Below are 27467 nucleotides of genomic sequence, written 5' to 3'. Positions count from 1 at the left end.
TGAGATTCAAGGCATGATTCATCCTGTGGCAAATTCCCTCAAGCTGGGAGCCTGTGAAATCAAAACAAATTATCTATTTTAAAATACAGTGGTGAACAGACAGGACAGACATTCCCATTCCAAAAGAGAGAATAGGTAAGAAAAAAAAAAGGGCAGGTAACTAGTCCTAAGTAAATCCAAAACTCAAGAGGGCAAATATTAAATTTTTAATGCTCTAATAATCTTCCTTGACTCTATATCCCACTTCCTGGATAATTTGGGACAATGTTTGGGCTCCCAAAGCCCTAGGAAAGAGCACCTCTCCCATGGCTTTGCTGAACTCAGCTCATGCTTCAAGTCTCCCATGATGGCATTGCATGCTGGTAGTTTTAATATCCTGTGGTCTCAGTGACAGTCCCTCTCCCATGGCTCCACCAGGCATTGCCCTGGTGGGAACCCTGTGGAAGCTCCAACTTAACATTTCTGTTTATCATTGCCCTAGTTGGAGCTTTCTATGGTGGCTTCACCCCATGGCAAGTGTCTGCCTGGACCCCCAGGCTGTCCACATCATCCTTTGAAATCTAGGTGGAGCAAGCTATGGCCCCACAGTTGCATTGTGTGAGTCTGCAGAGTTAGCATCAAGTTGATGCTGCCAAAATTTATAGCTTGTACCTTCCAGAGTGGTGGGTTGAGTCACACCTGGGTCTGCTTAAGCCATGGCTGGGGTGGCCAGGCAGCACTATATCAGAAAGTGGGGAGCAGTCTGTAGACAGCCCTAGATAGTGAGTCCATGATAGGCACTTTAGGCTGTTCTTCCCAGAACATTCTATACTCCTAGAGCTCTGGTCTCTTATGAGAAGGGAAGACTTGAATATCTCTGAAATGCCTTCAGGGTCTTTGTTTCATTGTCTTGAAAAATAGCACCTGGCTTATTTGTATCCATGACATTATATTTAGCAATTGGTTGCTTGGCCACACACTTAGTATTGTCTCCTGAACACACCTTTCCACTTTTTACATGACCAGACTTCAAATTTTCAATGTCTTTCCACTCTGCTTTCCTTTTAATTATAAATTCTATCTTTAAGTCAATCCTTTCCTCTTGCATCTCATTGCATATAGTTAAAAGTAAGCATATGGCAGTCTGAATGCTTTGCTGCCTAGATATTTCTTCCAAGTATCCTAGTTCATCCCGCTTAAGTTCTGCATTCCAGAAAGTTCTTCGGCATGAAAAAAAAATTGAGCTATTTTGTGCTACTTCATAACAAGAATGGTCTTTAATCCAATTCTAATTTATTGTTCCTGTTTCATTTGAGCCTTCATCAGAATGAGCTTTACTCTCTAGACTTTTAGTAGCATTCTGGTCATGACTATTTAAGTAACTTTTAAGAAGTTTAAGAATTTCCTGTCTTCAGAGTACTTACCAGACTTTCACCTAATGCATCATTTATGACAATACAGGCTTTTTCTAGCCCACTCCTTCCAATCCTTCCAACCTCTACCTCTTACCTAATTCCAAAGCCACTTCCATATTTTCAGGTTATCTGTTACAGCAACAACCTCACACTTGATACCAATTTTCTGTCTTCGTCCATTTACTGCTGATGTAACTGAATACCAAAAACTGAGTAATTCTCAAATAATAGAAGTTTATTTGGCTCATGATTTTGGAGACTAGGAAGTTCAACACCACGGTTCTGGCATCTGTCAAAGGTCATTCTATGGCAGAAGATGAAAGGCAGAAGTGAGCTCATGAGAGACAGAAAAAGAAGATGGAGCCAAACTATGTTTTTATCAGGAATGCACTCCTAGGATAACTAATCAACTCCTGCAATAGAGGCATTATTCCATTTATAAGGAGTGGACCCCCATGGCCTAGTTACTTCATAAAGCCCACACCTCTTAATACTGTTAAAATGGCAATTAAGTTTCCAATACATGAACTTTTGAGGGACACATAACATAACACAAGATTAAAATACACAAGTTAATTGCTTTCTAGACTTAGTATAAAACTATGGTGATGAAGAGAGCATGGTATTGGTGAAAGAATTGAAAAATAGACCAATGTAACAGAACAGAAAGTCCAGAAATATACATAAATATATTATAGGAGACCAGATAAATATACTGTGGGAGACTAGAATATGTCACCCCAAAATATGCCTCTCTGGCAGAAGGATTAATTTGAGCTGATAATTTTGTGAAATAGCATACACAGGAGAGGCTTTGTAAACAGAGTGTAAGTTACTTTTTTGTAAGAGCAATTTGTATTTATAATGAAGTCTCCATTTGTAAATGTGTTTCCCTCTCTATACCAGGAAGAGAAGGATTGCTCTATATCACAACAGACTCTTATAAATTGAGAAGGCACCAAATTAAATCTGCAAAACTATGGAAACAGTAAAAAATTCAGTGGCTGCCAAGGCCTGGGGTGCTGGTAGGTGGAGAGATGAACAAATGGAGTACAAAGGATTTGGGGGGAAGAAAAGCTATGCTGCATGATATTGTAATGGTTGATGCATGTCATTATACGTTTGTCAAAACCCATCATATATATAGTACTAAGAGCAAACGCTAATGAAAACTATGGTTTTTAAGTGGTAATGATGGGTCAGTGTAGGTTCATCAGTTGTAACAAATGTACCACTCTGGTGGGAGTTTTTGATAGTAGGGGAAATTGTGCATGTTGGGGTTTCAGGTATAAGAAAATCTTCATATTTTCTGCTCAATTTAACTTGGAATCTAAAACTGCTTAAAAAAACCCCACCAGTCTATTCAATAAAAGAACTTAATGGAAAAAAATATATAGGAAAAATGCAAACGGGTTATAAAACTTACTTGATGTTAAGGTCAAAGGCATGCATAGGTTTATTTATTCGGTTATTTCAAAGTTAAAAAAATAATGTTGTAGGACGTTTTCCTTAGTTCAGCTAAAATCTGGGTTCTTGTCACATCGCCATGAGAGATTAGACTCACAGGCACTTTGAAGGGTGAGAAAAAAATGGAATTTATTGGGCAAAAAGGTTAAAAAAATTAAAAAGAAAAAAAGGGAAACAAGGACCCTCCGCAAAGCCAGAGTCTTGCTAGTGCACTTCCCACCTCACAAATTAAATCCCAGGTACCATCCCAGGACGGAGAGAGAGGCCAGGCTCCTCCCCGCTGCAAAGGGCATGAACTTCCCATCGCTCCAACCCCGTACGCACTCCTCCCAGTGCACAGGCCGGTTGGAGATTTTTCCAGAAACCCCTTTACACTTGTCTGTCTCAATATCTAGTTATTATATAATAACATGAATAAAAACATATCAAAATATTGAAGATCGATATCTACAGGTGGTAGATTACAAGGAATTATGTTATTCCTTCTGGTTGACTTTAGTGTTTGTTTCAATTAATATACATAATTTTATGTAAGTAAAAACAGTTTTTGAAATTAAAATATTTAATTAGAAACACTTTTATACAGACTGTGGTTTCAAAAGCAAAAGTCAACCAGCAAAAAAGGCACAAATTTCAGTGTTTTGAAATAATTCAATGAGAATAAACTAAAATTAGACATTATAGGGGAGAAAAGAGCTGACTTTTCTCCACTTATCACAAATACCAAGGCTGACACCCATGTAACAAAACACAGATTAGCAGTAGCAAAACTTAGCAAATGTATTTAATCAAAATTTTGCATGGCATCAGATCTTCAGAAATGATGACCCAAGGAAAATTGTGTATTTTTATGCTAAGTCTGACAAAAGAAGAGGATAGTTGTGGAGAAATATGATTGGACAACAAGGGTTTGAGTTAACGGTAATAAATCAGAGAAAACTCAGAAAGGTCTGTTCAGATTCTTCTTGGCCTCTCTGTGTGGCATGTTTTTCCTCCCAAAACATGGGGCAGGACCACTCTGGAATGAGGATCTTGTGACGTACTTTCAGACAAGGTAGGTCAGAGAATTTCTTTATGACCCTACTTCATGCAGAAAGGTGGGAAAAGGTCAGAGTGAGCATCTTGCTTCTGTGGCTTCCTCAATCACCAAATGTCATATTTTGGGGTATCATATGTATTCCAAGCCCCAGTAATATGAAGCCTAAAGGGAAATGAATAACTAAAACAAGTATCCAAACAGTCTACTTGCAAGGGTAATGCACGTGTGATTTAAAAATGTATATAATAAGATTATACATGTTCTCACTAACATCCACAGTTTTGTGGACAGCTTGTAGTCCACAGGGCAAGGATCATGTATTCTTCAGATTTGTGTCTTTAATAAGCCAAGTAAGAACAGGAATTTTTGTTTGTTTTGTTCTCTGGCATATTCTTGGGACCTGTAACAGCACCAATCATATTGTGGGTGCAAGGTAAAAAGGTAAATCTTTCTTGAATAAATAATTAGCTTTCTGTAAAACATTCACAACCCCCTCGTCCACACACAAACACAAAATTTCAATATTGTATTTCAAACATTATAAGAATCTTCATTCTCATATTTCCTGTCTTTGGATACTACTGCCTGCTTTTTTGATCTGCTTATATCAGATTGTGTTATTCATTACTGTTGACCACCAAATAGTTCTGGCTCTCTGTCTTCCAGGCTCCTGGTGAGATTCCATTTCCCAGACCCCCTTGTAATTAGATGGGAGCATTTCTGACCAATGAGTTGTGAACAGAAGTGATAAGTATTGGAACACTTCATTATTAATGCAAAATGCTTTCACACTCTTTCATCTGCCATGGTAATCTGCAGTGCTCATGATGATATTGTTTCATCAGCCTGAACCTTAGACTCAGGACTTATGGACAGAGCTCAGAGGTGACCTTCAATAGACTGTAGAATGAGCAAAAAACTAAACCTTTGTTGTAGCTACAAAGGTGTTGAGGCTCTTTTTTACTACAGCATATCCTAATCCATCCTGATTGATACACTCATCCAGTAGAAAACCATATTAATTATTATATTTGTATGACAAACTTCCATAGCTAGTCTGACACATTGTTCTTTTTAAAATTTTATTTTCATAATTTTTTGGATATCATTCCCTATTTATTTTCAATGAAATCTATTGTTTTAATTGGTATTGCACTGAATTTATAGATGAATTTTATGAGAATTAAAACTTACACAGTATTGAGTTCTAATACAAGAGTATTAAATTACTTAAAACTTCATTTATGTCTCTCAATAGAATTTTAGAAAAATGTATTTTCAGATAAATCATGCATATTTCCTGTTAAACCTATCCTAGAGAGTACATCTTTTTTGTTGCTATCATATATGAGACTTTTTCTTTCATTAAAATTCTTATCTGATTATTGTTTTTATACAGAAAAGATGTCGTGTTGGTGTTTAACATATTAATTTTTAAACTGCCTAAATATTCTTTATTTAAAAAATATTTTCTGAATTTCTGTTCTTTTTACCTTTTAAAATATATAGAAATAAAAACAATATTAATTTTGCTTTCTCCTTTGCCATACTTATACTAGCATTTAAAAAATAATATTAAAAAAGAAATATTTATACAACAAAATAGTAATGAAGAAGGTGGCCATAAAATAGGAGCTCTAAATCATATGGCACTAACTGTAAGTGGTATAAATAGTTTTGGAATTACAGTGAAGCAATACCACAACTTAAAAGGTCATTATGTTAAGGAAAAGTAATTTTCCATAAGAAATGCTTGAAGCTACATAATTACAAATGTATTTTACTGCTGCAAAATTACAGTGAAATGAGGTATTAAAATCAGTGTATTTCAATAGTTGTGGTGTTGGCCTTAGTCAGCAAGACCAATATGTTTTTAACTTTATGTTTGCAAACCGTAGCACACTCAGCTGAGTATTTCCATGTGGTTTCTGCAAATTGTGGTATTTATGATTTGTTGCAATTAATATTTTCTTCTTAAGTTCAAATGCTACAGGCATTTTAACAAAATTCTTTCTGCAAATTCTGCAGATACCAGGACAATACCAGACCCTATTTTTTTTCCTTTGATCTGTATTCTCTCTCTTCTTCCCATTGGTTTCCCTGATTTTATGTTTCTTACAGAATTATTTATACTCTAGTGTTTGACTCTTGGCGGACAGTATGACAGTTCCATCACCCTATCCCTATTTCTCATGATGAAAAAATGAGCAAGCTTTGTGAGTTAATTTTGTGTTGCTTTGACCAACAAACAGATGTGGGGTCTGGAATTGAGAAGTAAGTCTCTTTAGTGAACATTTAGTGAACATAACTAAATTACAACACTGTATCCCAGTTGTAGGTTCATCCAACTCACAACTCCCTCAGTGGTTTTTGATAATTTGGTGGTGGTATGGGTGTTTTTAGTTATAATTATGAGGTAGGGAGAAGCTAATGTCTTTTACTGGGCATGGCCAGAAATGCGAAATATCTTGTATGCAAAGAAAATAATTAAGCTGCTCCTCTAAACCAAAACCAAAACGAAACCAAAGGAAAAAAAATTAAAACTATTTAAAACAGCCTACATCCCTAAAGCTGTCCCTTCACTCCCAGTCCACCAAAGCAATAACAGATATTTCGCTGATGATCTGATACTTGCTTCTCTGCCTAGAAAGTATTTGTGTGATCCCTCAAGGCATACAGTAGTAGGATTGTATTTTACCTCTTTTCAAGTTAAACGTAGCTGTGTTTTTTGTTTTGGCCATTGAAATATTAAAGGAAGCTGAAAGCTTTAAACCAGTGTACAATTGTCTGATTTTCTTTTACCATTCTGTACACTGATGGAAGCATGTGTCAAGATATATGTGTCTCTGACATCCTGGTTCCCAGAATCCATGAACATAGTCACTGCTAAGCCAGACTTTGCCTATGATATGAACAATAAATAAATGGTTATTGTATTAACTCATTAAGATTTGAAGACTGTTTGTTACTGCATCTGATCCTTGCCTATTCTGACTGACATTTCTCCTTTGGATACTATAAATCATCTTGCCTCTATGTACCTGGTGTGGATTGAATTGTATCTTTCTTCAAATTCAGAGGTTGATGCCTTAATTTCCTATGTGACAGTATTTGGAGATAGGGCCTTAAAGAGGTAATTAGAGTGAAGCAAAGTAATAAGGGTGGAGCTCTTAATCAATACCACTGGTGTCTTTATAAGAAAAAGAGGAGACACCAGAGGTGCACACACACAGAGGAAAGACCCTGTAAGGTTTCAATGAGAAGTGCTTGTCCATGAGTTAAAGGGAGAGGCCTCAGGTGAAACCAAACCTAACGAGACCATGCTCTTGAACTTCTAGCCTCCAGAACTGTAAAACATTAAAATTATGCTGTGTAAGCCCCAAACCTGTGGTATTTTGTTATAAAAGCCCTATTAATCTAATCAAGTCCCAATTCTACCTTCTTCAGAATAGTCTTTCCAATTTCTTTTAGATACATCCTGAGCCAAAGACAAGCCCTGAGATGACATTGCACCAAACCCAGGTCTCAGGCTGACACTCTGTGCCTCCAGCTTGCCTGGAAAGATGCTTTGGAGTTTCTTCTAAAATGGCAATGAGTCATTCGACATGGCTTTGAATCCCAGCTCTTCAATTTAAGCTCTTTCTTAAACTTTGTGAGATCTTTGACAAGTTACTTTATTTCTCTGTGCCTCAGTTTCCTCATCTTTAAAATGGAGACACTATTAGTACCTATGTCATAGTGTTATAGGGAGGCTAAAATGAGCTCATAAAACTCTTACGACAAAGATTGATTTATAGTGAACACTTAAATGAATATTAACATTCATTATTGAAATGGGAGAGTTCCCTGACCCCCCTCACAGGATGTGCGACAGGGGTGTGGCTTGTGTGTTTGGTCACTGCCACTGCTCCAACCCCTTGTGAAGGGGAAGCACACAGACAGACAGGTGCAGGAGCCCAAGTGGGCATGTGTCACAGTGTGCCATTTTAGTCTTGCCATCCATGGATGGCTTGAGTGTTAACCAACTTAGTGGACCCTCTGCCTTTCTGCAAGGGCAGAGGGGCAGTGTGACAGCTTTCTGTATCCCAAGTTCTTGTCCAGTGTCCTGGAAGAATTGGATCACACATAGACTTAAAGGATGAATATGGGGTTTTATTGAGCAGTGGAGGTGGCTCTTAGTAGGATGGATGGGCAGCTGGAAGGGGATGGAGTGGCAAGATTATCTTCCCCGGGCCAAACCCCTCTCCACCCACCCGCAGCCAGACTCCTCTCTGTGTTCAGATGTTCCTCTTCTTCTCTTTCTCTGCACCACCATGCTGACCTTCATCTGCTTGTCTCTTTGTCTCCTTGTCTGCTCATCTGCTCCTGAAGCCTGGGGTTCGGGGTTTATATGGATACAGGATAAGGGGGCATGGCCGGCCAAAAGGTAACTTTTTGGGCGCAAAAACAGAAATGCCTATTCCCACTTGGGGCCATGGGTCTCCAGGCTTGAGGGTAGGACTTTTGCCAGGGAACCACCATCTTCTACCCAGTGTTTCTCTGTCTCCTGTCCATATCATTATGATAAACTTTGGATTGAAATGACCAACTGTTGATTGTCTTAATCACACACAAAGAAGCTTGACAAGTTGGTGAGGACAATGGTAAGCTAAGTGAGGCACTTTTGTGACCTGGGGAGGAAAGCCTTTTTAAATACTGAAACTTACTTAGTTGCTTCACTTGACTTCACTCTAGTTTTGGCCTTGACAAGCCTGAAAAACACTTCAAACTTTTACCTCAAGTAGGCCAAGTTCCTTTCCTAGCATTAGCCTCCATAGCAGGTGGAGCCCAGGGCCCTACACAGAGATATGGGCATTTTGGAGTTCCTAGTTGCAACACTGCCTCCACTAGTAACGTGGTGGAAAGATTCCCGTACCTCTTGTCTGCAATCTTATCCAGTTGGTGAGGTAGTCTAAGACATTTTTAGCCCCCTAAATGGCAATGATGACAAATTAAAATCCAATGGGTAATTTACTTGAAAATTGAATAACTTGTAAGTACACTTAAAAATATGCAGAGGAGACAGAGCATGCAGGGTTTGGTAGCAAAATGCAACTCCATTTGAATTTTATAAAAAGGAAGTAAAGGCCAGAGATGTGTTCCTTTTCACACTAAAGGAAATAGCTTCTATCGCCTAGAAGATCAGCTCCAATAACTTCGGGGATGCATTTGGCTTTATTAGGTCTGTTGCCATTGTGATGGGCTAAGGAGTTCCTTTGAAGAAAAGTAATTACTGTACCAGAGGCCCTCGTCAAAGAAATGCGATTGTGTCTAAAAAAAAATCCACTTGCTCAGCACAATTTAGGCTCTCTTTCTGCACCTTTTTATAAGGCTGGATCGATAACTGGCAGATATATAGATCTCCAGGATGGTTACAGCTTAACTGTTCTCAATTACACTCTATAGTGGTACTAAAATGGAAGAAAAAATACTGTGTGAAAACATGCTTAATAAAACTAAATTAGTACTTTATCGCATTCACAAAGTAGTCACTTCTGTATCAAAGGGGCCTTAGAAATGTGTAGGAAAGAATATTTGTTGAATATCTACTTTGGGCTAGGCTCTGCAATATGCAATATATTTGAATTATATGATATGTATTATAGGATTCTTATCACTGCTACGTAAGTATGGAGTGTAAATGTTAGAATCACCCTCAGTGGGAAACATAAAACTAAAATAAAGGAAAATAAATCTAAAGCATTATGGAGCAGTCAATTACCCAGAAATATTTACTGAACTTTTTTTTTAAAAAAAGAAGGGCGTTTACCTTAAATCCCTATAATGTGTTACTTACACTTAGTACATCCAAAAACCTTTATGTAGCTGGATGGTAAAATGTATATGGTTTAAATGACTGTCCAATTCTCATAAGTAGTTTATTTTTCTTCCCAAAGTCTCCTAGCCTCTTATTGAAAGGTGTTGAAACCAGACAGTAGACCTGAGAAAGTGACTGAAATTTTCATGTCCAGACTGGGCAATACCTTTTACTGAGTGTCACTTTAAAGAGATTTATTTTCGACATTTTCTTTCTACAAGGGTTGCTTCCTCAAGTGAAGGCCAACATTTTTCTTAATGTTAGAAGCTTTACATGATTTTGGAGTCCTGGATTTCCTTCCAACCAACTGAATGAAACCCCCAAGCAGGAATCCTTATTTAAAAAAAAATCAATGGAGAACAAATTCAGTTTACCATCATCTGAAGAAGATTTAACTCTTGTAATTCTGAAATTGGGAATACAAATTAAAAGTAAAATGATATCTTCTCTAATGTTTGCTGTAGCAGGCCTTGATTTGAGAAAGAAAAGAAAATTCATCTGGCCTTAATAAAGATTGCGCTTTCTGGGTTGTTGGCGTATATTGTTTCTTGTCTATTTTTACAGTGAAGGCTAATTTTTGGTGTGGTGGAACTAAACAATTTATTTTCTTTTTATAGAGATCAGTTTTATTGATTCCATACGTCTTTATTGAAAAATAAATGAATAAGTGTTGAGAATCTCCTCCGAGACAGTGTGATATGATGAGTCCTATGCCAGAGAGAGAGGTAAGATATGTTCGCAGGAGAGAACTTGAATCTAATTCGCAAGTTAGGCAAGGCTCCCCAGAGGATGGGGACCCAGATCGAATTTTGAAAACAGGCAGCAATTACCAAAATGAAGAGTGGGAGGAAAGACTTTTCAGGCAGAATGAGAAGTGAATGCAAATCACATTACTGAACTCTGATAATGACACATTTCCATCTAAACCCGGTACTTTCTCAGATGTCACACAGGCATCACTCCTCAGCTGCACGGCACATGTATAGCTCCATCTAGGCGCCTCACCTTGGGCAGTGGAATCACACATTATTATTTATCCAGATCAGAAAGTATGAAGTTAAACTTGACTCCTCCCTCTTCTTTACAATATTAAAGGAATCACCAAATGTTCTCTATTCCATCTGCTAATTGTACATTTAGCTTTATCACCAGTAACATTTATTTATTTATCTGCATTTTCCCATTTAGTCTTCACAACTGCTATGGCAAGCTTTTATTAAATAATTAACTATCCCCTTTAAATTCAGGAATTGTTGGCAGTTGTGGTAAGTTATGTACTAACTGCTTTGGATATAATGATGAACATGGTACTACCACAGCCTCCAAAAAGATCATATCTAGTGGAAAAAACAGAGACATGAAGAGATAATTTTAACACAAGACATGCTAAAGATATACACAGAAAATATACTAGGAGGAGAGAGGAGGGCTGGAAAGCCTTACAAGGGGATTAAAATCCTATAGTGAGACTTTAAGTATAAGAAAGAAATACCCTAGAGAAAATATTCCAAAGAAAAGAGGCATAATTAGCAAAGGCTGGTTATAAGGTTTAAAAGACTATAATGTATAATGTTGCTGAAACACAGTTGGGGTAGAAAATGATGAAAGGTAAAGGTATCTTCCTTGATCCTTGGAGTATATTTATTTATTCCCCAGCACTGAGAAGGCTCCAAAACCCTATGCTAGTTTCTTTCACAAAGATGTATTGTCCAAAAAAAAATGAGGATTCATTTTTACAATGTTGTAAGAATGACTATGAAGACATTGAAATGTGATATTTAACCAAAGATCATATAAGAAATGTAACTTTCCACAGAGTTATCATGGTTACTCTAAAAGGTAATATAATACACAGATATATTTTCCTTTAACTGGTCCGGTAGGGGAGTATAGTCATCCCCACTGATGTATGGCTGTCTCTGAATTTTCCACGCCTGTGCTTTATAATCTAGGTGCTTAGAAAGATAGCATGTGTGGTCTAGCTAAGGGCACTGTATAAATCAAACCATAACCCATTCTTTTCTGTCCTGTCATTTGGAGACTGCAGAGTGTACTTTTCATGTTCCACATCATTAGCATAACCTAACACCAGATTTAGCTGTGTAATGCCTATGCCTGAAGGTGAATGAGGGAGTTGAGATATTCAAAGATGAGAGCGTGTGGACAAATGGATTGCAGATATAATGCCATTTAATCTAATCTTCAATAGCTATTTATTGAGGATCTACAAAATTCCATATTAACTAGAAGAAAGGTATAGGACAAAGTGCCTACCCTAATATAACTCATGATCATGCTGGGGAGACAGAACATAATACTTGGAATATAGATAACCAGTAACACACCAGTACAAGAGACTTCATTCCACAGGAAAACACATTAAAATAAGCAGTTTCAGATTGCTTGTGAATAACGGGAAGAGCAATGGATTCATAGCAAGAAATTTGGGTTCTTGCTCTTATTCTGACATGATACATCTATGTCATAGAACAAGTTATTTTAACTCTCTGACTTTTGAGTTTATACCTGTATACCAAGATAAATATACCTGTATACCAAGTTCACTGAGATTTGAAAAGGATCAAATGAAAGTGCTTTTAAGACTTTAATATAAAACAATACGTGGCGATGTGGTGTAAGGCAAGCCTTCCAAGCAAAGAACATGTTGGTAGACCATGAACTTAGCAGTTTCTACATGAGTTCTCTTCATTCACTTTCAAGTTGGTTCTTCTCTTCTACACTTATTAATCACTCAGTTAGATATGATTTTGGTATCTAATATTGCTTTTTGTATCTAATAATGATTAGAGACATTGATGATATTGCTTTTTGCATTTAATAATGATTTATTGAACAAATAGTGAGAGGTGAAGCCAGCTGGACTTCCTGGATTGAGTGGGGACATGGAGAACTTTCCTGTCTAGCTAAAGGATTGTAAATGCGCCAATCAGCACTCTGTAAAAATGCACTAATCAGCACTCTGTGTCTAGCTAAATGATTATAAATGCACCAATCAGCACTCTGTAAAATGGACCAATCAGCACTCTGTAAAATGGACCAATCAGCAGGACATGGGTGGGAATAAATTATTCCCAAATAAGGGAATAAAAGCTGGCCACCCAAGCCAGCAGCAGCAACCTGCTTGGGTCCCTTTCCACACTGTGGAAGCTTTGTTCTTTCGCTCTTCACAATAAATCTTGCTGTTGCTCACTCTTTGGGTCCACACTACCTTTATGAGCTGTAACACTCACTGCAAAGGTCTGCGGCTTCACTTCTGAAGCCATGAACCCACTGGAAGGAAGAAAGTCCGGGCACATCTGAATATCTGAAGGAACACACCATCTTTAAGAACTATAACACTCAACATGAGGGTCTGCGGCTTCATTCTTGAAGTCAGCGAGACAAAGAACCCACCAGAAGGAATAAATTCCGGACACAATAGTATATCCTAGTCAGTGCGTACAATGCTGGAGATTCATGGACATGTCACCACTCAAGGACCATGTGTCATGCACAAACTGTCTGGCATATAATGGGTGCTCAAAAAATGCCATTTTACATTAAATATTTGATTTCCATATTTGATGGGGATATCCAGAGAGGCAATTAAAAGCAAAGAAGATATTTTCATAATATAGAAATTGCCTAAATAAAGTGAAGGAAAAATTTTTGACTACTGTGACAAACATTTGCACTCCAAAATATTTCAGAACTGCTTTTAAAAATTCTATTAATTTAATTCTCAAACTTAGCCAGGAGACAAAGGAAGGGAGCTGACAGTTCACACCAGTGATAAAACAAATAGCAAATAAAACCTTGACAATTTTTTAGCCTCATTAATGAGCAACTACATGTTTGAATATATATACATGTACCCTCTGTATCCATGGTTTCTGCATGGGTGAATTCAAAAAATTGCATATCAAAAAATGTTTTTAAATGGATATATATGTCTGAACTAATCATGTACAAACTGTTTCCTTGTTATTTTTCCTTAATACAATATAACAATGATTTACACAGCATTTACATTATATTAAGTATTATAAGTAATCTGGAGATGATTTAAAGTATACAGGAGGATGTACATAGGTTATATGTCAATACTACACCATTTAATATAATTGACTTAAACATTCATGGATGTTTTTGTATCTGCAGGGAATTCTAGAACCAATTCCCCACAGATACTAAGGAAAGACTGCATATATATATGCAAATATATATTTATGTACATATATGCAAATTAAATTTTAAAATAAAATTTTATTTTAAAAATTAAAATTTGAAATGATTACTTAACATGAAAAGGCGCGATTGAAATAGATACATTTTGATAGCTCCAACATTTTTATTTTACCTAATGCTGACAATCTTTCTGGAGATAAGTTTTAAAATGTCTTACTGTATTGGAGAGATGCTACCATATGACCTGATAATACTCCTGTATTTTTATTGATACATGACAGTACTTCTAAATACTTAGCAGCTTATAATGACACATATTTCTTGTATCACGTTTTGTAGGTCAGGAGTCTGGGCATGACTTAGCTAGATTCTCTAAGGGATGCACAGGCTGCAATCAAGGTGTCAGCCAGGAATGAAGTCATATCACAGGTTCGAACGGAAATGATTCACTTCCACCTTCATTTGAGTTGTTTGTAGACTTCAGTTTTTTGCAGTAGTAACACTGGGGGCATTTGTTTCTTGTTGGTTGTCGGCTGTGGAGACCACCCTCACTTCCCAGATACCATCCACTATCCCTTGCCACACAGGGCTTCCCAACATAGCCACTTGCTCCCTCAAAGCCAGCAGGGAGATACTCTGGTAAGACAGGCACTACAATTTTATGTAAACGTAATCATATACACGTAATCACATACATTCCATCACTTTTGCCATATTCTGCTGTTTAAAGTCACAGGCCACCACTGCTGCCTAAATGCCAGGGTTTCAGTCTAGGTCCTGCTGCTCACTGCACAGAAAGCCAATCACTGAGACAATGAGTATTGCTGGGGAAGAAAGCTTTCTTCAGGTGCTTTGGTTAAGGAGAACAGATCAGTCTCAAATCTGTCTCGTCAACTGGCTAAGTTTAGGGGTTCATATAGCAGGGGAGAAGTTAACTATGTGTAGGAACACAGGAATTAGGGAGGGGTAAGGAAGAGGAGCTGGTCAGCAGGAAGCCAGTGGTTGCTTAGGTAGTCATGATGAGTGAGGAGCCTGGTATCTCATTGTCTGGATGCAGCGATCTGGTGAGTTTCAGTTCCCTAATACCACCTGGGAGGCCTGAAGGCCGGTTTCCTGGGGAAGGAACTCAGATGAGACAAATTTAAGTTTCAAGCTTTAAGACCAGGAGAGTCAGTTTCTATGTTTATCCGAAAAACAGTAGACAGCACTTCTATGGTACAACTGGGCTAGTTTCGGCACTACATGTAAAGGGAGGAAACTGAACAAGGCTGTGAAAAATAGAAAGTGGAGTTTATGGGGAACACCTGAAGATCTATTTGTCTGTTACAACCATATCTGTGATATAGTTCAAGGAAATAATTCAAAACAGAGAAGAAAGATTTAGACAATATTGTTTATTTATGTACTATATATTATTCCTGCTAATTGAGAGCAGTTTTAATTCACAAATAAGTAATTGCAAGAAGAGGGGAGGATATAAATGTCTAGAATCTGGAAAATCAACCCAATTTATATATTACTGTCCATATATGAAAACAAAGAGGTTAACACACGTATAACTGAAAAATAACTAAAAGTAACAATAAAGGCACAATAAATATAAAATAATGAATACATAATCATAGCAACTAGACTAAAATTTACTGGTATATATATTTGAATTAGGAGAAGCTACAATATTTGTGAATAAATTTTGGTCATTACTAATTTACCATCCTTGCAAAATTTAGCTATTGTCTACAGTTCTTGAAAATCAAAGGATAGCAACCTATAAAAACATGAGTTATTGAAATATGGAAAACAAAAATAATTTATAGATATGATTTTTTAAAACCCTGTGATTTGATTTTTTAAAAAGGCTCACAAAACTGATGAAATTTTAATTAAAGAAACAAAAGAGAAAACAAAACTACATATTATGACAAATCGGAAAGGAGACATATTATATTTTTAGGTTTAAAATACTTATGTGCAAATATTGTGTGCAAAACTAGGGCAACAAATTGGAAAATTTGGAAAAAAAAGGAATGATTACTTACCAACGTACAAATTATCAAAATTGATCCTAAAAAAGTAGAGAAGTTAAACAGACATAAACTACAAAAAATTAGTGGTATGAATGAAATATTTTGCCATTTAAAAATAAATTACCTTAGATATCTTTATAGATAATTTTTATATCATCTTTAAATAACAGGTAATCCAGTGCTGTGAAAGAATTTTATAGATCACAAAAGATTGAAAGCCCCCATTTTATTTTTAGAAACAAGTGAAACTTTAATATCCAAATTTATCAAGATAAAAAAGATTTAAAAAGCTGCGCTGATCACTGTAATGATAATGTACAATTTTAAATTTAAAATTAGAATTTAAATCCCATATTACAAAATGACTGTATAGTATAAGTGAAATCGAGCCACATTATTCAAATACCGAAATAATAACTGCATATGATATATCAAATAAATATATTTAAAAGAAAAATACAAATTAATATAGCAATGTATTAAAAGTACATTTGGTACAATTCAGGCATTTTTTATTAAAAAATTCTAAGGAATATAGTGGACATAATACTATTCAAACAAACAGGAAAAATCATTCTAAAGAATTAAATGTAATATCATTTCCATTAAAATTAGGAGCAAAACATAATTTTATATGGTTTGAAAATGCTAGTTAATACAATAAGTCAAGAATGAAATATGTATATAAATCTACATGATCATTGGACAAGAAATTTTTCTCTTAACAGATGATATATTTTTATAACTAGAATCATCAAAATAATTTGACTAAAACAAAACAATACATACAGAAAAACACACACACACAAAGAAAAGATGAACCATTAAAATTAGAGACTGATAAAGACTTCAGTATAATAGTATTTCCACTGTTGTCCAGTTAAAATAAAAAATGGAGAAAAATCTGATGAAGAAAACAACAATCATTGATGGAAATATATAATCTAAAATCTGAACAAATAGAGGAGCAACGATGTGTTTTAATAAGATTATAATTTACAAAAATGTAAATCCTTCCATATTTACAAGATAAGTATATTATAAATCAAATTAGAATACAAAGTTATTTTAAAACTGGATATATTGATATAAAAGTTCATGGAAAAATAAAATTTGATTGTGGCCAAAAGAAAAAAAAAAGGAATACTGGAGGGAAATTTGCCTTAGCAAGTACCAAACTTACATTAAAGCTATTGTAATAGAAATGGTATGGCAAAAGCATAGGTATAGTCATATTGATTAGAATAATTACTTCAAAACTGATCCAAAAGAAAATATGATTGAATATTTGAGAAGTTATAATTTAATTAGTTAGCAAAATGGTACTTCATTTTACAGCCAGTATAAGTGTTTAGAAACTTATAAGAAAACAAAGCACATACCACATACAAAAAATTCTTACAGAAAATTTTAATGTATAGGTTAACTGTCTCATATATAAATAATTATAACGTGTACAAATATATATAAAATAGTATGCCAATAATAAATAGTAATATGCAAGTATATTTTATAACTTTTCACATATATTTAAAATAATTTTAAAAAATATATACATTAGAACAATTTAGGAGCTCTGGCATAGCTCTTTTGGGAAAGAGTAGGCCCACCAAAGTGAGAGGAAACCCAGATGTCACAAATGAAAATAGACATAAAAAGAATTCCATTAACAAAGTCAAAGAACAAAATAAAATATTTGCAACCCATATAGTAAGATAATTACTATTTCAAATATACATAAGACTGTTCCATGATGAAAAAAATATATATATAAATTAAGAAAATTATATGAACAGATAATTCGTAGAATAAAAAATTCAAATAGCCAATAAAGACAAAGATGGCAACTCAGTTACAGGTGGAAATTGGAAGACAATGATAAAACATGTTTTAGCTCTCTTTCCAAAAGATGTAAAGTAAAATATAGCCTGGAGCTAGTATCTAGATAATGATCTCTGATAAGAATGTGAATTGCTCCTGAATTTTGAAAAGTAATCTGCCACTGCTTATTGCAAAATAAAAGTTCCATAGTCTTTAAATTTTCACTTTAACTTTTCACTATTGCCCCCCCATGCCAGGCTAATTTTTGTATTTTTAGTAGAGACAGGGTTTCACCATGTTGGTCAGGCTGGTTTCAAACTCCTGACCTCGTGATCTTCCCACCTCCAGACTTAAGTGCTGGGATTACAGGAGTAAGCCACCACGCCTGGACTGAATCTCATGTTTTTAAAGCAATATGTACAAAAATACCTATTGCAGATTTTTGTTATTATTGTTTTAGTTGTCTGGTTTGTGTGTTTTTGTTTCTTGTTTTTTGCTTTTTTGGTCCTGCAAAAAAAAGTAAACAAACAATAAAGAATAAGGAAAAAAAAAAACCTAAGAACCCAAATGTTGGTTAATTGAGAAAAATCAGTGCATGTAATAGTATGCAGCCTATAATGTTTATTCTAGCCTTTGGTATGCAGCTAAATTAATGTGTTAGCTGTGTATTTATTTATCTAATAGCTAATCCATATTACTGAGTAAAGCAAGATGCAAAGTAATATGTATATGAAAAACTGCAAAAACTTTATGTGCGTATATTTAAGCTTCTATGAAGAAATAAGACCTGGTACCATACAAACCAGGTGTTAATATTGGTTATTTTATGGCATGCTGCAAAAGGCGGGTGTGAGAGGTGGAATTATGTCAATGGTTGTCATAAACTCACATGTTGATTGTTTTATATATATATATATTTGAGAAACCTGTAATAAAATACTTTAGAAGAAAATGTACATTTAGTTTAGAAGAAGCTATAGGGTTTGTAGATTAGCAAGATTTAGGGTTTATAGCCATGATGTCCCGTTGCTGTTCCTGGTAACCTATTTCTGCTTGGTTCTTAGTATTATATTTAATACATAACATAAAAAAGGGAACTGGCTGAATCTGAGAGAAGATGTGAAGAGAGAAATTTGATATAACTCTGCCCATCTCTTAAATGTTGATATTCCTCAGATTTCTGTCCCAGACTCTCAGCTCTTGCCGAGTAATGGCTTTAATTGCATTGTATTTGAATTTCCTGCTTACTTTCTGATTCTCCTATAGGGTTTAAGGGTCTCATGGGTTCCGTAATGATTACTTTATTATTTTCTCCTTTATTCCTAGAATATAATTAGTAGCTATAAACTGGCAAGCATTCAACAGATATTTGCTGAATTGCAGAAAGAAGGAAAAAAGGGAGGAAGGATGGAAAGATACGAAATACGTGGCACTGTGCCTGGCATATACATGATCTTTACAGAAGGTCCTCATACCACACTTTTCCCACTCCAATCCCTCTGTCCCCATTCCCTTAGTCATATGTACTGCTCACTTTCCTGATGCAGACATCATATCCAAGCTACACAAAGGTTATCCAGCAATTCATCAATTCCTCACCTCCCATGCTTAGCTTTCCTGGCAGCATTTCAGCCCCTGGTGGGAGATCCGCAGCCTTTGGCTCTGCTTGCAGAATGGCCAAAGAGCACATCTGGATTGAGCATTTCATTTTCAGTTCAAACCTGGTTATAGTAACACTCTGTCATACTTAATATACACAGGGCAACATGCAGTGTGCTAGATTTGGACTCACTGGAAAAAGACAAAGCATGACATTGTTGAGGCTGTACCAGCAGGGGGTATAATTCTTTGTAAAGCTATATAATATGTTCGAAACATATTGCAGCTGTTGATAGGTTTTATTACATTTACAGTTAGGGACCTTATTATATTTGTAGGAAAGATTTATTATATTTGCTTTTATTACTTTAGCAGTTTGGGATACTTTCCTATTTGTCATGAACTTATTCCATTTATGCCCATTGAGTTTATTTCTTAGGTTTGCTCCATGAGCAGGCTATGAATAATTTCACCTGTTGTCATTACATTTGCAGTCAATTTTCATTACCATCCTGCTAATAGTTTACAGTATTTGCAGGTGCTACATATTACATTAGTAGTTTGAATATTTTAAAGTCAGCAATAATGGGGTAGAGCAATCAGCTGAAAAAAGGGCACAGAACCCTTCGCATGCTCAAACTCTTGGCAGATGTGGGGAATACACTACATCGCAGAAGCTGGCTATGATAGCCAGACTTGTTTTTGGAGTACGTGTTCAAAGGACCAAAACCTTAGTCTGAAATGCTCAGATTCATGGACTCCAAGTTGGCTGTATATCTTATTGTTTCAAATTTTCAGGATTCTTCCACTGACGAACTAAATGAAGATAAGACACAAAGCTTAAATGTATGACGAATTTATGTTTTCAAAGCAATTTCTTCCCTGAACTATCTCTAGCTTGAAAGACTAGATGGACATAGGAAACCACATTGCCCGTGAGCATAAGCAGAGTACTTATGCTGCTTCTTAATATTTGGGGTAGAATTTGACATCTTATGCACCAGTCTAGGCCTCCACCATGTATAGCCTCTGCAGTCTATTCATAAATGGAAAATTCGATGCAAACGTCTGTTTGAAGTTATGTGACTCATTGTAGCAGTTAATGGAATCAGTAAGAGAGGTAATATGGAGCAAGGGAACATCTGGAATAATTGCAGTACATGTGTAAAGCAGCAGCTATACGAACAAAATAATAATAGTAGAAGTTTATTTATCACTTACCAAACACCATTGTAAAACACTCCACATGCATTAAATTAATTAGTCTTCCTAACAACCCTATAAAATGGTTATGCTAATTAGTCCCATTTTACAGGCGAGAAACTGAGTAGCAGAAGTTAAGCAATTTGTCTAAGGTAACAGAATTAGGATAGATAGAACCAGGTTTGAGCCCAAGTAATTTAACTTTCATGTGCAAGTTTTGAACCCCTAGTCCATGATATTAATTCTTAGCTCTGCAACTCAATCAAGGAAGACAGCCTCCTAGTTCCTAATCAACTAAAGATTTATACTTAGCTCTTATTCATTTTATGGATTATGCTATGCTCACTGGACTGTTTTCAAATCAATAAAGGTTTCTACTTAGCCAATATTTAAATAAATGTACTTTCCACCAATTTTCTGGGAATCTACTGGTTTATAGAAACGTAGGTTTTATTGGTTTATTTATTTATTTTGAGACAGAATCTCAGTCTGTCACCTAAGCTGGAGTGCAGTGGCGCAATCTTAGTCCACTGCCTCCGCCTTCCAGATTCAAGCAATTCTCCTGCCTCAGTCTCCTGAGTAGCTGGGATTACAGGCAAGTGCCACCACACCTGGCTAATTTTTGTATTTTTAGTAGAGACAGGGTTTCACCATGTTGGTCAGGCTAATCTCAAACTCCTCACCTCAGGTGACCCACCTGCCTCAGCCTCCCAAAGTGCTGTGATTACAGGCATGAGCCACTGTGCCCGGCTTTGATATTATAAATATATTAGAATATATATATGTATATATTAGAAATATAGTTTTCCTCTTTCAAAGTACTTGTCATAATCTAATCATCAACTCAAAGGCAGAACACAGACTAAATCATCCTTATAACCCCAATGCCCCTAATATATGCTAAAATGGAGTAGCTAAGTGAAGTACTTAGGAGCACACAATCATCCTTTTAAACTATTGCTCAAGCCAGATGGGTGAAACATAAGAGTCCTGGATCAGAGGTGAGAAAATCTAGCTCTGGTTTCTGCTCCACAGCTCACTAATACTTACGGACTTTTAGAATTTCAGTTTTCTTGTCTGTATAATTAGAAAAGTCTAACACCTGCTCTAACTTCCTCATAGGTTGTTACGAGGTATTAGGGTTCCCAGATTTAACAAATACAAATGCGTTATATCCAGTTAAATTTGATTTTCAGATAAAAAGAGACAAACACATTTATAATATGAGGATGTCCCATGGAATATTTCGGACACATACTAAAACAAATGCACAGTTTATCTGAAATCCAAATTTAACTGAACATTACATATAATATTGGGCAACTCTACATGAGGATTGATGAGATAATGCATAACGATGTACTTAAACGTTTGACATTCTGACAAAACATATTGAGATTGTAAATGTAGCTGATCCCTCTGAAACAGGAAAACAAAACAAAACAAACAAACGAAAAACAAAAACAAAAACAAATACCCAGGGGGATTTAATATAAATTCTTGCTGTTCATTGTCTCTGGAAGATTTGTTCCTCTGTAGGTGGAGGGCTCTATGTGTGGCTACATTGGAGAAAAACTGATTCAGCAACAGAGCACACAAAGCCAGGGAGGAGCCAAAGATCACTAAGGGAAGGGGTTTTCTAGCATCGTTCATGGACAAATGCCAGACTTACTGTGCTAGGAATCACCAGATGAGAGGCTGTTACAGACACAGCTTCCTAGCTTCTACCCCAAGAGCTCTCTTGTAGTCCCAGTGTCTAAATGTTTAACAAGATTCCCAGATGAATCTGAGAAGCAGCCAGTTTTGCCAACTACTTCTAGATAGGTTTTTAGGGACACCAGATGCTTTTTATGAGAGCACTAATGACCACTGCCAGTGGCAACAAGTAAAAAATCCATGTCCCTAGAGTGGATCCTAACCCCAGCATCTACAATGGACATCAGAGGAACATTGGCTAACAAGGTGACCTGCCTTGCATGATTTATCTACCTGCCATCTACAGTACAAGTCATTTAAAAGGGTCCAATATTTGTCTTAGTAGTACATTAAATGAACTATATGCATTAAAAAAGGGCTCTTACTGTTAAAAACAACAGAGGCCTAAGTCAAAATAACTTTCAAAAGGATGGAAGTCAAGAGAGCAATCTGCAGCCTAGCTATATCCAAGTGCTTACGATATTATTATGACCTCGAGACAATAGTCATCTAATGTATTCTGTTTCTCCACTTTCCCCCAGAAAATCCTACAGCAAACTTAACTGGCCCAATACAGTTGATATGCCTGTCCTTGAACCAAAACTACAGTGATTGATTGCACAGTCCTGAGTCACAAGCTCACTCATGCCTTGGGGACAGGTCAATCCCACTCAAGCTATATGGACTGAGACAGAAGAGGGTAAGTTTAAATGCCAGAAATGTTTCTAATACTAGAAAAAATGGACATAAGGGTGTGTGTTATAATAGAGTATAAAAATAATAAAATGAAAACTTTCTCAGAAATGTGAAAATTAAGAAAAAAGCAGAAAAAAATTATGTGACTCCAATTTTTCCAAGAGGCATTCTCTAAAGTCCTAGTTATTTTAAGTATTCTGGATTAAAGGGGGTTTCCTGGTCAAAGTGTTGGGAAACACAAAGCACTTCTTTGAACATGTGTGCTTCTTGTAGCTTAAAATGAAAAATGATTACATTAAAACCTCTGTAAAGCTATTCAATACAGAAACCTTTTAAAACTGGCTTTAACCCAGAACTTTTGAAATTGAATGAAACAAAGAAGATTTTTTAATAGTAGAACATATCATAGAATTAGCATTTTAAGGCAATAATTCTCAAAGTTTAATGTGTATACCCACATACCTGTGTTTCTTGTTTAAGTTCGGAATCTGATTGAATAGGTTTGGAGTGGAGCCTAAGATTCAGCATTTCTAAAACAATGTCATGGGACCTACATGTTGAGTAGTAAAGCTTTCAGAATGGCATTTCGGGAAATAAGCTCTGCCTAAACCCTACATTCTTTCATGGCTATTTCTGGGTCTTCGTCATCATGGTAATCTTAGCTATCTTGCAGGGCCTGGCATATGGAGATGGTCCTTAACTATTTTAGGATTAAATGAGTGTATTAAAGAATGGCAACTTGAAAGCTTTGCTCTGTGATAAGGTTTACATATCAGGCACATTTTCTAATAGGTTAAGTAGAGTATTTCCATGTGGGATGGAGAAAGAAAAGGAGCATAATGGGAGAGAAGATTCACAAAAGACAACAGGCCTTAGGTAGCTAGAGGGTAGTTACAAGATGCTGAGGTAATGTTTTCAATGCCAGGTCAATGAAGGACCTGGTGGAGCCATAAATGAGCATGGCAATAGGGAATTAAAATGACTCCAAAACAATGGTCTTCAAATCTTTCAGACCCAGTGACCCGAGGAACGTAATATACTGATCTCTAAGATTCTACCTCTGTAGTTCATTTAAAATGAGATTCTCAACTGGAGAGAGTGAAGGTGGATATTAGAACCTCTAAGTGAGTAACAGTCTGAAAAGAGTCCTCCTCTTCCCCCAATTCTGATATGCAGCTATGCTCCCTACTACCACACACTTAGACATATTAGTCCAAAGGAGAGCACCAAGTATTAAAAAATAAATAGCTGCTTCTAAAAAAGATTCTATGTTGTGGGAAGTCAGGGACCCCAAACAGAGGGACCAGCTGGAGCTGAGGCAGACCATAAATTGTGAAGATTTCATGGACATTTATCAGTTCCCAAAATTAATAGTTTCATAATTTCTTATGCCTGTCTTTACTGCAATCTCTGAACATAAATTGTGAAGATTTCATGGACATTTATCACTTCCCCAATCAATACTCTTATAATTTCTTATGCCTGTCTTTACTTTAATCTCTTAATCCTGATATCTTCGTAAGCTGAGAATGTACGTCACCTCAGGACCACTGTTGTACAAATGGATTGTAAAACATGTGTTTGCACAATATGAAATCAGTGCACCCTGAAAAAGAACAGAATAACAGTGATTTTCAGGGAACAAGGGAAGATAACCATAAGGTCTGGCTGCCTGTGGGGTCAGGCAGAATAGAGCCATATTTTTCTTCTAGCAGAAAGCCTATAGATGGATGTGTGAGTAGGAGAAATATCACTGAATTATTTTCCCAGCAAGGAATAACCCTGGGGAAGTAATAAATTCCTGGGGGTAGGTCTATAGATGGCCGCTCTGGGAGTGTCTGTCTTATGCGATTGAGATAAGGACTGAAATACACCTCATCTCCTGCGGTACCCTCAGGCTTACTAGGATTGGGAAATTCCAACCTGGTAAATTCTAGTCAGACCCATTGTCTGCTCTCGAACCCTGATTCCTGTTAAGATGTTTATCAAGACAATGTGTGCACAGTGGGACATAGACCCTCATCAGTAATTCTAATTTTGCCTTTGCCTTGTGATCTTTATTGCCCTTTGAAGCATGTGATCCTTGTGACCTACTCCCTGTTCACACACACCCACCCCTTTTAAAATCCCTAATAAAAACTTTCTGGTTTTGCAGCTCGGGGTTGCCATCATGGTCCTACCAATATGTGATGACAGTCCCGGAGTCCCAGCTATAAAATTTCTCTCTTTGTACTCTTTCTCTTTATTTCTCAGACCAGCCGACACTTAGGGAAAATAGAAAGAACCTATGTTGAAACATTGGGGGCTGGTTCCCCCAATAATTCTATGTATTCTCTTAAGTAACCAGCATAGTCTAATTATCATCATCATCATCAAAATAAGTGGATTGAAAAAATTATACCAGCTACATATTTATCAGAGCATCTTTTTTGCTCTTTGATGTTAATATGCAATTAATGCACATTAGTTTCTCAGATCATTTAAGTGCTCAGGACTTGGTTTTTCATTAAGTTCAGAATCATCATAGTATTATTTGTTGATAGGAAAGCAGAAATTTTGTACTCCTCTGTGACAAAGCAGATATATCTGCTCAATTCAGGAGTAAAGTATTAACAAGCTAGCCGACTTGCCTAAAGATTTATAACCAGGTTCTTAATTTATCTTAATATCAGTAAAGCAAATACTCTTGCTATACATTTCTTTGTTTTCTGGATTTCATTTTGTTCTAAACTAAGGCCAATATATTATGATTAAGCTCCCCCAAACTCTAATATTTGGGTACACTGTCTGTGAACCTTAAGAAAATTCAAGAAACGTAGGTTACCAAAGAGACAGAAAGAAATTGGCTGGTAGCTTTATTCCTAAGGGTTTAGTGAGGGTGGCCTAAGTGAAATTTTGTCCTTGGTGGATCATTACGGTTTATGGCAGCTTTGTTCACAGGCAAGTGGCTTTATTGATATAGGTAGGGCTATTTTTAGCCAGCTTAGCTCATAGAAAATGCAGACCCCTTGATCCTTAGCAAACAAGGCTTGCAAAGACCTTAGCAAATGTGGACAGCTCTGCCTTATTGAGCAGTCCATATTGGTCTTGGACTGTCTAAAGCTACCTTGAAGTAGAAAACTGTAGCCACACTTTGCAGAAGCCAATGAGGCAGAGATTAGCCATTATGTGTAAGAGGTTATAAAGGTGTAAAACTGAAGAGCTCTCTAACAGGCCTTATGTTAAGTCATCTACAAAGCAGTCAGGAGAAAGAGGCAGCCTTCTTTGGCAGGGAGAAGATGCTATGCTGCGTGATTATGTCTAGGAAAAGGCAAAGCCTCAAAGGAAGCCTGTACCTGGTAGGCATCACCTTGGTTTGGCAGCTAATTTTGCCTCCAACCCTGCAACTAACATAAAGCATCATAACTCTAACTGGTTGTGCATGACTTAAGGAATAATCTAATAGGAAGATGTGGAAGATCCAGGTATATGGATAAAATAAGAGATTTCACAAAATCAAATCATTAATTGATACATAAAAGGGTCATAAGTTTTATTAATAAGCAAATGCAAGCATTGAACTGCATGCAGGGAAGTGATAAAGGTGATATTTTATCTCTATCTGCCTAATTCCATGTCTATCTCCTTCTAGTGATTAAGGATTCAAGTACAGAAAAGGGGTACTTTTTATTGGGCTCCTAGAATTCCAATAATAATTTATGTTCATTCTTAACTTTTTAGTTAATTTTTTTTTCATTTTCATGTTATCTTCACAACAATACTAGACAACATATGCAATCATAGCAATGATAAGTGGGGGTGAAACCCCCTAATCAATGGTGAAATACTGATAGATTCAGAATAAATCTTAGAAGTAGAGGCAATGGCACTGGCAGAAGTATTGAGTGTGATGGAAAAGATACCTTTTTGGCTGTAATGTTGATTAATTAGATAATTATAATTAATTAAGATGGTAAACACCGTGAAGGAACAGGTTTTGGGGAATGAGACAAAAGCTGTTTAAATACAGGTAAGTGTTATCTTGATTGTATTTTAAAATTTGCAGAACAAGACTGATAACTGCTCTATCCTTCAGGTTTTGCCATAAAGAACAAGTAAGATATTCTATGGAAAAAAAAAGTCTTTGAAAAGCATGAAAACTTCTGAAAGTAAAAAGGTTTAAAGAAAGCAATTACCCAGGTAAGAGAAAGATAAAAATAATTCTATCTTTTCTGAATTATCCATAGATGTTAGACATTGTCTTAGTCTATTTGGGCTGCTATAACAAACACCATAGACTGAGTGGCTTATAAACAGCAGAAATTTGTTTCTTGAAGTTCTGGAGGCTGCAAAGTCCAAGATCAAGATGCTGGCAGATTTGAGGTCTAGTGAAAGCCCATTTCCTGGTTCCTAGATGACTGTCTTTTTGATGTGTACTCACATGGACAGCGGCATGGGCGCTCTCTAGGGTCTCTTTTCTAAAGGCACTAATCCCGTTTATG

At 36.2% G+C, this 27467-nt stretch overlaps 1 long non-coding RNA gene across 2 annotated transcripts in view, besides 1 other annotated feature; it reads left to right on the top strand.

Moving 5' to 3' along the window:
• The window catches only part of LOC107986263 (uncharacterized), a 50786-nt gene extending 23627 nt beyond the window's left edge, over window positions 1–27159 (top strand). The window contains exons 3-5 of one of the 2 annotated variants that reach the window (XR_001741604.2): window positions 10375–10482; window positions 22833–22990; window positions 27062–27159. This is a non-coding gene — a long non-coding RNA (uncharacterized LOC107986263). Of the gene's footprint in view, window positions 1–10374; window positions 10483–14284; window positions 14497–22832; window positions 22991–27061 lie in introns of those variants that run through there. The other variant, XR_002959783.1, reaches the window with a different exon arrangement.
• Window positions 14839–14888: an enhancer, noted in NCBI's record as "active region_21361". NCBI's record gives its function as "activates an Ori minimal core promoter by ATAC-STARR-seq in GM12878 lymphoblastoid cells {active_cell/tissue: GM12878}" and the evidence as "EXISTENCE:reporter gene assay evidence [ECO:0000049][PMID:35858748]".
• Window positions 27160–27467: the final 308 nt, after the last annotated feature.

The sequence above is a fragment of the Homo sapiens genome, chromosome 4 (genome assembly GCF_000001405.40).
Source record: "Homo sapiens chromosome 4, GRCh38.p14 Primary Assembly".
Taxonomy (NCBI): domain Eukaryota; kingdom Metazoa; phylum Chordata; class Mammalia; order Primates; family Hominidae; genus Homo; species Homo sapiens.
This window is presented reverse-complemented; position numbering and strand designations above follow the sequence as displayed.